This window comes from Homo sapiens, chromosome 11 (genome assembly GCF_000001405.40).
Source record: "Homo sapiens chromosome 11, GRCh38.p14 Primary Assembly".
NCBI lineage: Eukaryota > Metazoa > Chordata > Mammalia > Primates > Hominidae > Homo > Homo sapiens.
Window position 1 is genome coordinate 3,604,009 of NC_000011.10, and position 14,063 is coordinate 3,618,071.

The 14,063-nt window shown below is 46.2% G+C and overlaps 1 long non-coding RNA gene and 1 pseudogene across 2 annotated transcripts, besides 2 other annotated features; one reads left to right on the top strand and one right to left on the bottom strand.

The window, feature by feature from the left end:
• Nucleotides 1-177: 177 nt before the first annotated feature.
• On the bottom strand, nt 178-1,921 carry LOC124902617 (uncharacterized). The gene is made up of 3 exons (XR_007062558.1): nt 1,755-1,921; nt 591-650; nt 178-487 (listed from the first exon to the last, which is right to left on the bottom strand). It is a non-coding gene; the product is annotated as an uncharacterized LOC124902617 (long non-coding RNA).
• A 4,394-nt stretch (nt 1,922-6,315) lies between these two features.
• Nucleotides 6,316-10,744, top strand: XNDC1CP (XRCC1 N-terminal domain containing 1, C-terminal like pseudogene; annotated as a pseudogene). The gene is made up of 4 exons (NR_164660.1): nt 6,316-6,397; nt 7,173-7,245; nt 9,889-10,018; nt 10,574-10,744. The product of NR_164660.1 is annotated as an XRCC1 N-terminal domain containing 1, C-terminal like pseudogene (transcript).
• Nucleotides 11,528-12,052: an enhancer, noted in NCBI's record as "H3K27ac-H3K4me1 hESC enhancer chr11:3636766-3637290 (GRCh37/hg19 assembly coordinates)". NCBI's record gives its function as "activates a minimal SCP1, AML or CMV promoter by ChIP-STARR-seq in primed H9 embryonic stem cells {active_cell/tissue: H9 hESC(primed)}" and the evidence as "EXISTENCE:reporter gene assay evidence [ECO:0000049][PMID:30033119]".
• Nucleotides 12,053-12,577: an enhancer, noted in NCBI's record as "H3K27ac-H3K4me1 hESC enhancer chr11:3637291-3637815 (GRCh37/hg19 assembly coordinates)". NCBI's record gives its function as "activates a minimal SCP1, AML or CMV promoter by ChIP-STARR-seq in primed H9 embryonic stem cells {active_cell/tissue: H9 hESC(primed)}" and the evidence as "EXISTENCE:reporter gene assay evidence [ECO:0000049][PMID:30033119]".

The following is a 14,063-nucleotide window of genomic DNA, read 5'->3' on the forward strand; positions in this document are numbered from 1 at the left end:
AAATAAAATTATCTGGGTGTGGTGGCACGTGCCTGTAGTCCCAGCTACTTGGGAGGCCAAGGTGGGAGGATCACTTGAGCCTGGGAGGTGGAGGTTTCAGTGAGCTGAGATTGCACCACTGTACCCCAGCCTGGGTGACAGTGAGACCCTGTCTCAAAAAAAAAAAAGAATTTTTTCTCTGCATTTACCACTTGGCTAACTATTTGCCACAGGAGGCCTAGCTTTCAGCCTGCCTTAGCCTTTGCCAAGCCTTTCTTACTAAAGTAGTCGTCTCATCCCTCTTGTCCTTCTCTCTGTGGCTGTGCTTTCCTGCAGATTGATGTGGGCCATTCTTCCTGGCCCCAGACAGACCTTTCATCACCCTGCTCCCTGCAACCACAAAGTGAGTGATATGTCACTCTTCACTTCATTTGAATACTTAGAGGCCATTGTAGGGTTATTAAATGGTCTAATTTCGATGCTGTTGTATCTCAGGGAGTCGAGAAGCCTGAAGAGAGGGAGAGAGACAGGGGAATGACCAGTCAGTAGAGCACACATACAACATTTATCAATTAAGTTTGCCGTCTTAGGTTAGGCACTGTGTCTCATACCTGTAAGGCTGAGATGGGAGAATCACTTGAGGTCAGGTGTCTAAAAAAAAGACCTTGTCTCTAGAAAAAAAAAAAAAAAAATTAAACAGGCATGGTGGCACACATCTGTAGTCCCAGCTACTTGGGACTGAGGCAGGAGGATTGCCTGAGCCCAGGAGTTTGAGGCTGCAGTGAGCTATGATTAGTGCAGCTGCATTCCTGCCCGGGTGACAGAGCGATAGTCTGTCTCAAAAACAAAAAAAGTTTACCATCTTATGTGAGCACAATTCGTGGCACCCCCAAAACAGTTACAATAGTAACATTAAAGATCACTGATCACAGATCACCGTAACAGATGCAATAATAATGAGAAGGTTTGAAATGTGAGAATTACCAAAATGTGACGCAGCAACCCGAAGTGAGCACATACTGTTGGCAAAATGGTGCTGATAGACTTGCAGTGTTGTCACAAACCTTCCTTTTTTTTTAAGCACACAGTATCTATGAAGCACAATAAAATGAAGTATGCCTGTACACCTAAGATAAGATATATGGATTTCTAGCCCTGAGGTTATATCAATTTACTTCGATTTGCTCAACCAGGCTTCTAGTTTTTTTCTTAAGCCTATTCTGACTCCTCTCTTCTTGCTTTCTTGTTACACTTGTTTATCTTTCTAAGCCAGCACCCTCCATCGTATTTCATTCATAAAAAAATGAGTGTTTTATCATACAAAGCTAGAGTCATGGAATTTTAGAGATCATCCAGCCCCCACCATCTCATTTTCCATCTCAGATAGGAAAACTTTTATATGTTCAAAGTCATACAGCAAATCAGAACAGCATAAGGACTAGGTCTCCTGTCCCTACACTCTGCCTACACTACACACTCTGCCTCTTGCGCACACTATACATTTCTTAGAAGTTTCAAACTGAAAGAATCTCAGTTCACATGAGCGAACTTCACAAGAGTCACTCCTTTTGAGATTCCTGAGGAAAGAGAGGCAGCATTGGGAAGAGAAAATGAAGTTAGAACAGAAAGAACAAGAGTAGATCCTTTTGTCGTGCAGTTTTAGGAGAGATCCAGAGAGTTAAGACAAAGTCAAGTTTGGTCTGAGACTATTCTTCCATTGTGGAAAGGGCTAAAAAATGTAAAAAGGCCGATGGTGCCAGTTCAGTGTGCCCTACCAGGTTCCACTGTGGCAGTGCCAGGTTCCAGTGTGCCAGGTTCCACTGTGGCAGTGCCAGGTTCCAGTGTGCCAGGTTCCACTGTGGCAGTGCCACGTTCCAGTGTGCCAGGTTCCACTGTGGCAGTGCTAGGAGCTGACCTGACTGGAGCTCGATCTCTGTGATCCTGCCCAGTCTATAAAATGAAGCTCCGTGAGATTAGGAACCTGTCTGTCTCGTTCTGTAATGCATTCCTGGCACCTAGAACATTGCCCAGAGCAAAGTAGCCTTTTAGTGTAAATGTTCATTATATAAGTGACCTTTCAAAGGGGAGTTGTAGATAGAGCCACCATAAAACTTATCATCCAAAACAGGACACTTTAAGGGCAAAGGAGAGTGCTATTAATAATTACACTAAGGCCGGGCACAGTGGCTCATGCCTTTAATTCTAGCACTTGCAGAGACCAAAGTGGGAGGATCATTTGAGTCCAGAAATTCAGGACCAGCCTGGGCAACATAGCGAGATGCTGTCTCCACAAAAAATTTATTATTACTATTATTATTCTTTTTTTTTTTTTTTTTTTTTTTTTTTTTTTTTTTTACATAGCGTCTCACTCTGTCGCCCAGGCTGGAGTGCAGTGGCGCGATCTCGGCTCACTGCAAGCTCCTCTTTCCGGGTTCACGCCATTCTCCTGCATCAGCCTCCCCAGCAGCTGGGACTACAGGCGCACGCCGCCACGCCCGGCTAATTTTTTGTATTTTTAGTAGAGGCAGGGTTTCACCGTGTTAGCCAGGATGGTCTTGATCTCCTGACCTCGTGATCTTCCCACCTCGGCCTCCCAAAGTGCTGGGATTACAGGCATGAGCCACCGTGCCCAGCCAAAAACTTTATTATTTATTATTTATTTATTTATGAGACAAGGGCTTGCTCTGTCATCCAGGCTGGAGTGCAGTGGTGTGATCACTCACTACAACCTCTACCTCCTGGGTTCAAACGATCCTCCCGCCTCAAGCTCTCAGTAGCTGGAACTACAAGTGCATACTACCAGACCCAAATAATTTTTTTTTTTTTTTAGACAAAGTCTCGCTCTGTCGCCCAGGCTAGAGCACAGTGGCACAATCTCGGCTCACTGCAACCTCCCACCTCTGTTTTTTATAGAGACCAAGGTCTCACTATGTTGCCCAGGCTGGTCTCAAACTCCTGGGCTCAAGCAGTCCTCTTGTCTCAGCCTCCCAATGTGCTGGGATTACAGGCGTGTACCACTACACCCAGCCTCTACAAAACATTTAAAAATTAGGTGCAGTAACTCATGCCTGTAATCCCAACACTTTGGGAGGCCAAGGTGAATGGATCGCTTGAGCCCAGGAGTTTGAGACCAGACTGGGCAACATGGCAAAACCCCATCTCTACAAAAAATAACAAATTAGGCACAGTGGTGTACGCCCGTAGTCCCAGCTACTCAGGAGGCTGAGGTGATAGAATCACTTGAGCCTGGGAGTTCAAGGCTTCAGTGAGCTGTGATTGTGCCATTGCACTCCAGCCTAGAGCTAGATCCTGTCTGAAGAAAAAAAAAAAAATTATCCAGGCATGGTGGCCCGTGCCTGTCATCCTAGATACTTAGGAGGCTGAGGTAGGAGGATCACTTGAGCCCAGGAGATCGAGGTTGCAGTGAGCCGTGATCATACCACTACACTCCAGCCTGAGTGACAGAGTGAGGCCCTGTCTCAAAAAATTATTATTATTATTATTATTATTATTATTATTATTATTATTATTATTGTACTGAGACAACAGATAAGACTGTTCCAGGCAAACCGGTACCTACGTTCACCCCAGTTTTAGGATAAATAAAAGTTTCTCAGAGTTCTTTTCCATTTTGGCCATCTACATTACTCTGCACTTCTAGGACCATGGTGGGATGGAGGTCAAAGGGAGACAGCAACTGCAGAGTCTTATCAGAAGGGTATTGAACATCAACAGCAGGGTGAAACATACATGCAGGTACTTTGTGAAACTGTAGCGAAGGAATGTCCTGCAACATTTCAGCAAGAGACAGATGGTACATGTAAGCTGGGATTACAGATGGATGGCACTCAGTTTTATAATTTAGGGTGCCTAAAACGTCATAGACTTTTTTTCTAATGAGTCATTCTAATTGGTATGTTATAGTGAAAGCAAAACATAGGGCTTTTAACTCTGTGAAATGGGGTTATTATGATCACCAGTTTTCTAGTAAGAAAAGCACAGAGAAATTTAGTGGGGTGACCCAGGTCACACTGCCAAATAAGTCTTGGAGCGGATTTGAACCTAGGCCACTTGATTCCAACTAACCGTTGCTCAGAAGCTAATAATGAATCATTTCCTAATAATTAATTTCCTGATAATCTCACTTAGAGTTAAGGTTAAAATAAACTATCTCTACACACCTATCTAGTTACCCTTTCTAGTAGCATTCACTGTAACATTCATGAGACAAGGTAAAGAAAAATGAAAAACCTGGAAAATTAAAGAAAAGATTTCAGGATTATTGCTAGGTCCAAGAAAAGATTGTAATGGTAATTAGAAAATATTAAAGAGTTAATGAGAATAAAAATACTACTCAAGCTTGTAGAATGAAGCCAAAGTTATGCTTTACAAGAAAGACATTTACCTTTAAAATAACCTGTGATAGAAGAATCAGAGTTGAAAATTAAAGACAAAAATTTTTTAAGATAAGGGGAAAAAGGAAATTTCAATAAATAAAAAAGGAAAAAGGAATTAGGGGGCCAGGTGCAGTAGCTCATGCCTGTAATCCCAGCACTTTGGGAGGCTGAAGCAGGCAGATGACTTGAGGCCAGGAGTTCAAGACCAGTCTGGCCAACATGGCAAAACCCTGTCTCTACTAAAAATACAAAAATTAGTTGGCTGTGGTGGTGCACGCCTGTAATCCTAGCTACTCAGGAGGCTGAGGCACGAGAATCGCTTGAACCTGAGAGGCGGAGGTTGTAGTGAGCTGAGATCATGCCACTGCACTCCATTCTAGATGGCAGAGTGTGACTGTGTCTCAAAAAAAAAAAAATTAGGGGCCGGGTGCAATGCAATGGCACATGCCTGTAATCTCAGTGGTTTGGGAGGCCGAGGAGGGACAATCGCTTGAGCCCAAGAGTTTGAGACCAGCCCGTGCAACATAGTGAGAACTTGTCTCTACAAAAAATTGTTTTTAATTAGCTGGGCATGGTGGTGTGAGCCTATGGTCCCAGCTGCTCAAGAGGCTGAGGTGAGAGGATTGCTTGAGCCCCAGAGTTCAAGGCTACAGTGAGCCATGATCCTGCCACTGCATCCCAGCCTGGGTAGGGCAAGACCCCATTTTTTTTTCTTCTTTTTATTTGAGACAGGGTCTCACTCTGGTCACCTGGCTGGAGTGCAGTGGTGCAGTCGCAGCTCACTGCATGCAGCCTTGGCTTCTGAAGCCCAAGCAGTCCTCCCACCTCAGCACCTCAGCCTCCCAAGTAGCTAGGACCACAGACATGCACTACCACGCCTGGCTAATTTTTTTGTTTTTGTATAGACAGGTTCTCACTATGTTGCTCAGGCTGGTCTCAAACTCCTGGGCTCTAGCAATCCTCCCACCTTGGCCTCCTAAAGTGCTGAGATTACAGCCACAAATCGCTGTACCCAGGGTGAGACCCCATCTCTTTTTTAAAAAGTAGGGGTATAATCACAGATAAATTGAATTTTGACAAAGAATTAAGAAGCCAGCATACTACGATATAAATAAAATCTCTATGCAGAAATTATCTTGGGAGATTATTGCACATAGACATTTCTGGAGCAAGGAGGTTATAAAATGCCTGTGATAGTTAGATATGGTGGCTAATGCTCTCTCTGCACGATATCTATATGTATATATATACACACACCTCTTTGTAGATGGCTAGAAACTGTGGCTAAAACTGGTAGGTTTTTAGTTGTAAGTTAACAAAACTGTTCACAAAATAAATCATACTAAAAACTTAACAATATTATTAGATAATATTTAGAAGGAAATAATGAAATAAATGTCCCCAAAAAGTTCAGTCATTTAAGAGTAGTTTGATAGTTTGAGTAGGCCCTGGCACTAGGTAGCAGTGTCCCCTGGTGGTGAATCTTGGTATTTCATATCTCTCCATCGTTTTTCCTCAGGGTTCTTCTGATGCTGAGGAGTCTGGTCCTAGCCCCTGGCTAGCTAATCCTTCCAGCCGGAGGACATTCTTCCCACATCCCCGTACGTATGTACCTGACAGAGTGGAAGTCTCCCAGCCACCTCTGAGATCTTTCTCCTGGAAAAGAAATGCTATCAAGTCACTGACAAGCACACAAGACCAGCCTGTGTTCACCAAATTAATCACGTACTCTAGGCCTAACCCTATCTGTATATTAAACTAGCTTTCTTGCTTAGATGCCATTGACTTGAGTAAGCAGAATAAGATCTATATTTCAAGTGGAACCAAGTACTCTCTGTTTCCCTGCAGGGACACCAAGGAAATTTCAGAGCTCAGGAATATCCTAACACAGTTGCAGCCAGGGACTCTGGGGCGTTCAGCCCACATGGTGCTTTCTGCTGCCCACAGGGTGCCTCCAGTCAGTGTGGCAAGCCCAAAGAACAACCATGCAGAACCAGGTTCCAGTCATCCAGACAGGGCAGGTGAGTTCACACGACCTGTTCCTTCCTGTCCCTAGCAGTGCCCTTCCTCCCTGAATCTACCATTGCTCTGCAGGGATGGCTCACAAGTGGGACTTCATGTGGTAGAACAGATAATTGTTGGTGTCTTGTTACCAGAAGACAAATCAAATATTGTACAGTAATTGAAAAAGCACTGGCCTAGGAATCAGGAATCCTTATCTCTTTGGGCCTCAGCTGTCTACCACATAAGAAAAGACGTAGTTTATTATTTTAAGAAAAAGAGACTAGAAGGGAACTCATAATTTTTGGGCACCTACTATAGGCTGGGCCCTGGAGCTATGAAAGCACTTTAAAATATATTAAATGCTGTACAAAGTGTTTCATAAATTCAGAATAACCAGACAAATGGAGGTTGATGGTTTTTATTATCACTCGTTTGACAGATATTTATTAAACATCGTTTGTGCCAGGCTCTGTGCTAGGGATACCGTAATAAATAGCAATGCTCCTTCCCTAGTGGAGAAACACATGTCAGTGTCACACAGATAAATTTAAATCTTCAAACTGTGATGAGTACTGTCAAGGAAAAGTATAATTGGAGGACTAGATTTAGATTAGAGAATCCAGGAAAAGTGCCTCATAGGAATTAGCATTTCATCTAAGACTTGAAGAGTGAGAAAGGCACACTCTTTGCCTCCAGGCAAAGAGGGTAGAAAGAATATTCTTAGAGGAAGGAACATCATATGTGAAGACTGCTTTGTTAAAGAGCTGTATTTAACGAGCATTTCTAATACAGATCCCAGAGCAGAGGAGCAAAACTCTGAGAATGACGCACGCAGGATGAAAAGAAGGAAAGTGCAGCACCAAAGGTAAGTAGATCAATATGAAAGACCCAAATCACCTCCCCAAACCTTATTGCCCTTTTGCAGCTGTCCTTCCCCCCAATCTTGTTTCATTAAAGGTCAGAGAGTATCCTTGTGTCTGGGTTTAACCTGTGGGTCTAGACCTAAGGGCAGTGAAGAAAAGATATCCTTGTCCACATGTTGTCAGGTTTGGAACTAGGCAAACAGGCAGTCCTGTAGTGAACCAGAATCTGAAGATGAGTGTGCTGTATTTCACGGGCTTCATCAAAATCTAAATCTTTGGCCGGGCGCAGTGGCTCACGCCTGTAATCCCAGTACTTTGGAAGGCCGAGGTGGGCGGATCACCTGAGGTCGGGAGTTCAAGACCAGCCTGGCCAACAAGGCAAAACCTTGTCTCTACTAAAAATACAAAAATTAGTTGAGTGTGTCGGCACACGACTGTAATCCCAGCTACTAGGGAGGCTGAGGCAGGAGAATCACTTGAACCCAGGAGGCGGAGGTTGCAGTGAGCCGAGATCGCGCCATTGTACTCCAGCCTGGGCAACAAGAGTGAAACTCTGTCTCAAAAAAAAAAAAAAAAAAAAAAAATCTAAATCTTTTCTGCTTCAAAGGACACTGTCAAGAAAGTAAAAGACAACCCATAGAATATGGAAGAAAGTATTTGCATATCATATATTCAGTAAGGCTCTTTTATCTAAAATACATAAAGAACCTTTACAAGTCAACAATAGAAAGATATCCTAATTTTTAGAATGGACAAAGAATCTGAATAGAATTTTCTCCAAAGAAGATATATAAATGGCTATTAAGCACATAGAAGATGCTCAACATCATTAGCCATCAGAGAAATGCCAATCAAAAGCCACAATGATTATTTCACACTGACTAGGATGGCTGTAATAAAAAAGATGGACAGTAACAAGTGTTGGCGAAGATATGGAGAAATTGGAACTCTCATACATATTGCCAGTGGGAATGTAAAATAGTGCAACTGATTGGAAAACAGTTTGGCAGTTTCTCAAAATGTTTATATAGAGTTACCATATGACCTAGCAGTTCAGCTCCTAGGTGTTTATGTCCAAAGAATTGATAACAGGTGTTCACACGAAAACTTAACGGGCAAATGTTCAAAGCAGCATTATTCATAATAGCCAAAAAATTGAAACAACCCAAATGTCTATCAGCTGATAAATAAAATGTGGTGTAGCTATACTGTGGAATATTACTCAGCCATCAAAAAGGAATATAGTACTAATACCTGCTCCAACATGGATGAACCTTGTAACCATACTAAGTGTAAGAATTCAGTCACAAAAGACCATATATTGTATGATTTCATGTCCAGAATAGGCAATTCCAAACCACTAAAGTAGATTAGCAGTTGCCAGAGTCTGGTTTGGGGTTTCTTTTCTTTTTCTTTTTCTTTTTCTTTTTTTTTTTTTTGAGACGGTGTCACGCTCTGTCGCCCAGGCTGGAGTGCAGTGGCACAATCTCGGCTCACTGCAACCTCCACCTCCTGGTTCAAGCCATTCTCCTGCCTCAGCCACCCAAGTAGCTGGGACTACAGGTGTATGCCACCACACCCAGGTAATTTTTGTGTTTTCAGTAGAGATGGGGTTTTGCCATGTTGGCCGGGGTGGTCTTGAACTCCTGACCTCAGGTGATCCACCTGCCTTGGCCTCCCAAAATTCTGGGATTACAGGCGTGAGGCACTGCGCCCAGCCTGGGTTTGGGGTTTCTTTTGGGGGTAATGAAAATGTTCTGGAATTACATGGTTGTGATTACACAACTCTGTCAATACAGGGTTTTGAATTGAATTTATATATATATAAACAATTGAAACAATTGAATATGTATGTGTGTGTGTGTGTATATATATATATATATATATATTTTTTTTTTTTTTTTTTTTTTTTTTTTGAGACGGAGTTGTGCTTTTCACCCATTCTGGAGTGCAGTGGCATGATCTCGGCTCACTGCAACCTCAGCCTCCCAGGTTCAAGCTGTTCTCCTGCTGCAGCCTCCCAAGCTGGGTCTACAGGTGCGCATCACCACACCCAGCTAATTTTTGGTTTTTGTTTGTTTGTTTTTTGAGATGGAGTTTTGCTCTTGTTGCCCAAACTGGAATGCAATGGCACAATCTCAGCTCACCGCAACCTCTGCCTCCTGGATTCAAGCAATTCTCCTGCCTCAGCCTCTTGAGTAGCTGGGATTACAGGTGCCCGCCACCACGCCCAACTAATTTTTGTATTTTTAGTAGAGACAGGTAAATGTTGGCCAGGCTGGTCTCGAACTCCTGACCTCAGGTGATCTGCCTGCCTCGGCCTCCCAGAGTGCTGGGATTACAGGTGTGAGCCACCATGCCTGGTCTTGAATTTATATTTTTAAAGAGTGAGTTTTATGGTATGTGTACTATATTTCAATTAAAAAATAATAACCCAAGGGCAGTAATAGAATCTCTGTTCTCAGATGTTCAAAGGTTAAATGTCTTCCCTCAAGTCTGGTATATCAGGTGGGAAAACCAGGACCCCAACCCAGGGTTTCTAGGTCTATGTTAACTCTTCTACATTATTTTTGCTCTGATTTCAGGCTCCTTCAGCCCTTATGGCCTCTTACTAATAGCTGGTCTTTAACTGTTCTTTCTCACAGGCCTTTATCCAACTCTAATTCTTGGCCAAACAGGAGGGAGACAGCAAGAGCATGGCAAAAAAAAAACAGCACCGACCCCAGGCCCAAAGCAGTGGTGGCCAGGATAGTGGACAGTGCCCGATTTGTGCAGGTAAGATGCTTGGGCACAGGGAGTTGTTGTATGACAACTAGGCATTCCTTGAGGGAGGAATAGGAGATCTGGGGGTACTGCCAAGAAACATTTGAATTTGGAGTGCTGGCTTCTGTCATCTCTGCAGCTCTCAGGTGTGGAACTGTATTTTTAGTCAAGTGTAATTCAAGACAAGTGTGTACTGAGCACAGTGTGCCAGCTAAGCTGAGGAAGGGACATGGGCCCTGCCCTCAGGAGAAGAATGAAACCAAGCAATGTAAAACACGATCGGAGAGGGCCTAGAATTTCCTTCGTAACTTTTTCCTACGTGTCCAAATGCTGGTTCCTCTTTCAGTCTCTGTTCAAACGGTTCTACTTTGCCAAGTGTTCTCTTATCTGCCCAGATCATCTCCCGCAACTGAGCTTCTGCAGGATTATCTGATTCCCTTGGACTTAGCACTTCTCACTGTCTGCTGTGTATCAGTGTTATTTGTCTTCACAGCTTATACAGACTTCTTGGGGTGACATCCTGCCTGGGAGCAGGCCGTTTTGTTTACCTCCTTCTCTCCCCCATAGGTTCCTTCAGGATTGAGATTCTTCCCCAGCATGCTGCCACTTGTGGAGAGACCTCCCCACCTCACCCAGCTTCTCCCTCCTCATCATCATCTTCGTCCCAGTCTGTACTGTGGGTGTCCTCCCCAGAAAGTTCACCCCCTGTCTCCTGGGTTCCGTGCCCTATCTGCCAGTTGCGGTTCTCAGCAAGAGAAGTAGAAGAGCATGCCAGCATATGTGGGGACTTCCCTCAGGCGTGAGCCATGAGGTCCTGTGGTTTTGCCCCACCCTCTGTGACAGACTGGGACTGAATCGCTTGACAGCTGAGAAGAGCCGCTGAGGCCAAAGCTCCCTCTCTCCTCCTCTCCACTCATTCCCTCAGGACTCTGCCTGAGGGCACCTCTGTGCCTAGCCTGATCCCCATTCCCAGTTGTCAAGGCTTCTGTGACCATGGCACCTGATTCTCCTAAGGCCAGCTCTGTTCTTTTCCCCCTTGGAAGTCTCCTTGGAACTTTTGGGCCTTGGGACACCATCCAGAATGTCTTTCCCTCTGTGAGTGGTGCACATTCTCATGCCCATTTTCCTGAAAGGAAAACCGAGGCCCAGTGAAGAGCAAACGCTGCCTGACAGATAAAATCCTGTGGTGTGCTGGGAATGTGCGTGTGGATTTTGAGCACGAGGCTGACATCCAGCAACCCATGAACCGAGCTCTCAGTCTCCTTTGTGGGCTCCTGTCCTGGGCATAATCAGGTAATGGTGATGTGTGTGACACTAAGCAAGTTATTTATTTTAGCATCCAGAATTAACTGAGAGAAAAAAATCTCCCATCCTCCCGCTCACAGAGCTATGATAGGGACCAGATGGGTTAATGACTAAGGAGTAGTTACTAGGCTTGACTGTGGAACCTTGGGCATATCCCATTCCTTATCTACACAAGGAGGTGATTGGACCAGAAGGTGTCAAAGATTCCCTCAAGCTGTGATATTCCAAATTCTGTTCCCACCTTCTTTGAGCAAATATGTCTTCTCTTCCCTTTCCCAGAAGATTTCACTGTGTGGCACTAACACCGGTTCCCCTGGTCCCCAGGGTACAGAGCAGAGGGGGAGCAGCTGGTCCTGCAAAGAGAGGGCCCAGGTCAGAGTTTTGAATAGATAGAAAAGAGGGTGCTAGGCACAGTCAGGGAGAAGACTGAGCAGGAGTTCAGTCCTTCGGTTCCTGTCAGCACAGGTGCCAGCATAGGTGGGCACAGCCATGGACCCCATCACGGTAAGAAGCCTGCTCCCCTACCTTCTCCCATTCTGCTCCCATTTCTACCCATGAATAAAAGAAAAGATTGGCCCAGAGGCACTGCAGGGGCATCCTAGCTGCCAAGCAGATGGCTGACATCACTATGTAGGTGGGAGAAGAGCCCTTGGAACCCTGAGCTTGGGCCCAGAAGAGAAGAGCAGTGAGGATGGGGCCGGGCCTGGTAGAAGAGAGGGATGAGGCAGTGCCAAGGGGGAGAAATGCCCCCCAAAGCAGGGGAGGGCAAAGCGGGAGGATTGGTGAAGAAAGAGTATGTTGGGATCCTGCTGGGGCCCTGGTCAGAGCGGAGGGGCTTGGCAAAAGCCCACACAAAACCCTCCTGTGTGGACATGTCCGGGCCTGCCTGTGGGAGAGGCTCTAGGACTTTAAGAGGGAAGAGCAGCTGGGAGATGAAGTCAACAAGAGGGGAGCTGGGTCGGAACAGATCCTGTGCACCCGTATGTGGGGTTAGGCTGCCAGGGCAGCCCACCCCTGCTTTAACCTACCCTTGCTCAAGGTACCCACAGGTAGCTCTGCTGTTGGGGGGCTCCTGTGAGGGTAGAAGTCAAGCTGAGGAAGGGGCCCCCGGTCAGACCCACCTGAGGAAGGGGCCCCCAGTCTCTACCCAGTGGGGGAAGAATAGAAAGCCCCCACTGTACAGTGTCAATTTTCCTAACCTGAGAATCTACACAATAAAATGGTGAATGAGACAATATTTGCCAGTGTGTGTTTGGGACAAGGAAGAATATAATGGTGGCTGGATATAGAGGGTTAAGTGCTAGAACATGGAAGGGTGAAAGAGGCCCCAAAACAAAGGGAGTTGAAACTCAGGGTCCTAGCCTCTCCACTCCTTCGTCCGCCAACAGCCTAACTGGACTGAGATCGTGAACAGGAAGCTCAGCTTCCCACCTCCACTCCTGGATGCCATCCAGGAGGGCCGACTGGGCTTTGTGCAGCAGCTGCTGGAGTCAGAGGTTGAGGCCACAAGCGAGCAGTGGGCCAGGCTGGCCCCTGTGGAATGTGGAAGAGGCTGAGGACCGCTGCTGGAGGGAGGCACTCAACCTGGCCATCCGCCTGGGCCATGAGGCCCTCACCGATGTGCTGTTGGCCAGTGTCAAGTTTGACTTCCGCCAGATCCATGAGGCCCTGCTAGTGGCAGTGGACACAAACCAGCAGCAGTGGTGCGTCGCCTGCCGGCCCGGCTGGAACGGGAGAAGGGTCGCAAAGTAGACACCAGGTCTTTCTCACTGGCTTTCTTTGACTCATCAATTGATGGCTCCCGCTTTGCACCTGGTGTGACTCCCCTCCCCCAGGCCTGCCAGAAGGACCTGTATGAGATAGCACAGCTGCTCATGGAACAGGGCCACACCATTGCCCGGCCCCACCCGGTCTCCTGTGCCTGCCTCGAGTGCAGCAACGCCCGCCGCTATGACCTGCTGAAACTCTCTCTGTCCCGCATCAACACCTACCTTGGCATCGCCAGCAGGGCCCACCTCTCACTGGCCAGTGAGGATGCCATGCTGGCTGCCTTCCAGCTTAGCCGTGAGCTCAGGCGCCTTGCACGCAAGGAGCCTGAATTTAAGGTTGGTTTCTCATACTTCTCTCTTCCCCTGGTGCCCCATGTCTGTTCTTCCACCGGAGCATGGTTGGGCCTGTGGTCAGTGTTCTGGAAAGCTTGGAAGCCACAGAAAGAGGACAAGGCCTGGTCTCTGTTCTCAGGAAACCTCTAGTTTGATGGGGAGTCACAGAATCCCCCCTGAGGGGATTTCATTCTAATGGCAGAGAACAGCCACTCCAGAGGGGCCTAGTCTTATGCGGGAGGCACAACCCCCACTCCAGGGGAGCCCTGAGTGTCTCTGAGGGAGGAGAGAGAACAGAAACAACTAGAAAAACAGCTGGACAGACTTAGAGATGACGTTCAGTAGAATACATTACGTCTGAATACCTATTAGGTGTTCCCACCCGGAGCATTGTGTGTTGCGGCTCTCAAGCGTATGATCAGAGCAGAGAGAAGGCAGAAAGAGGGGACAAGGTGCTTCCAGGACGCTTGTCTTCATTCGGTGCCGCTGTGAATGGTGCTAACAGGGCTTCCAAAGCCCAGAAAACAGGTCAGGAAAGCCATAGCTGTTGTGTTCAGGGAGGACTCCTTGGAAGACGTAGCATTAAGCTGAGCTACAGAAGTGGGTGGTTTCATACAAGTGAAGAGGAGCAGGGAGGGTATTTGAGGTAG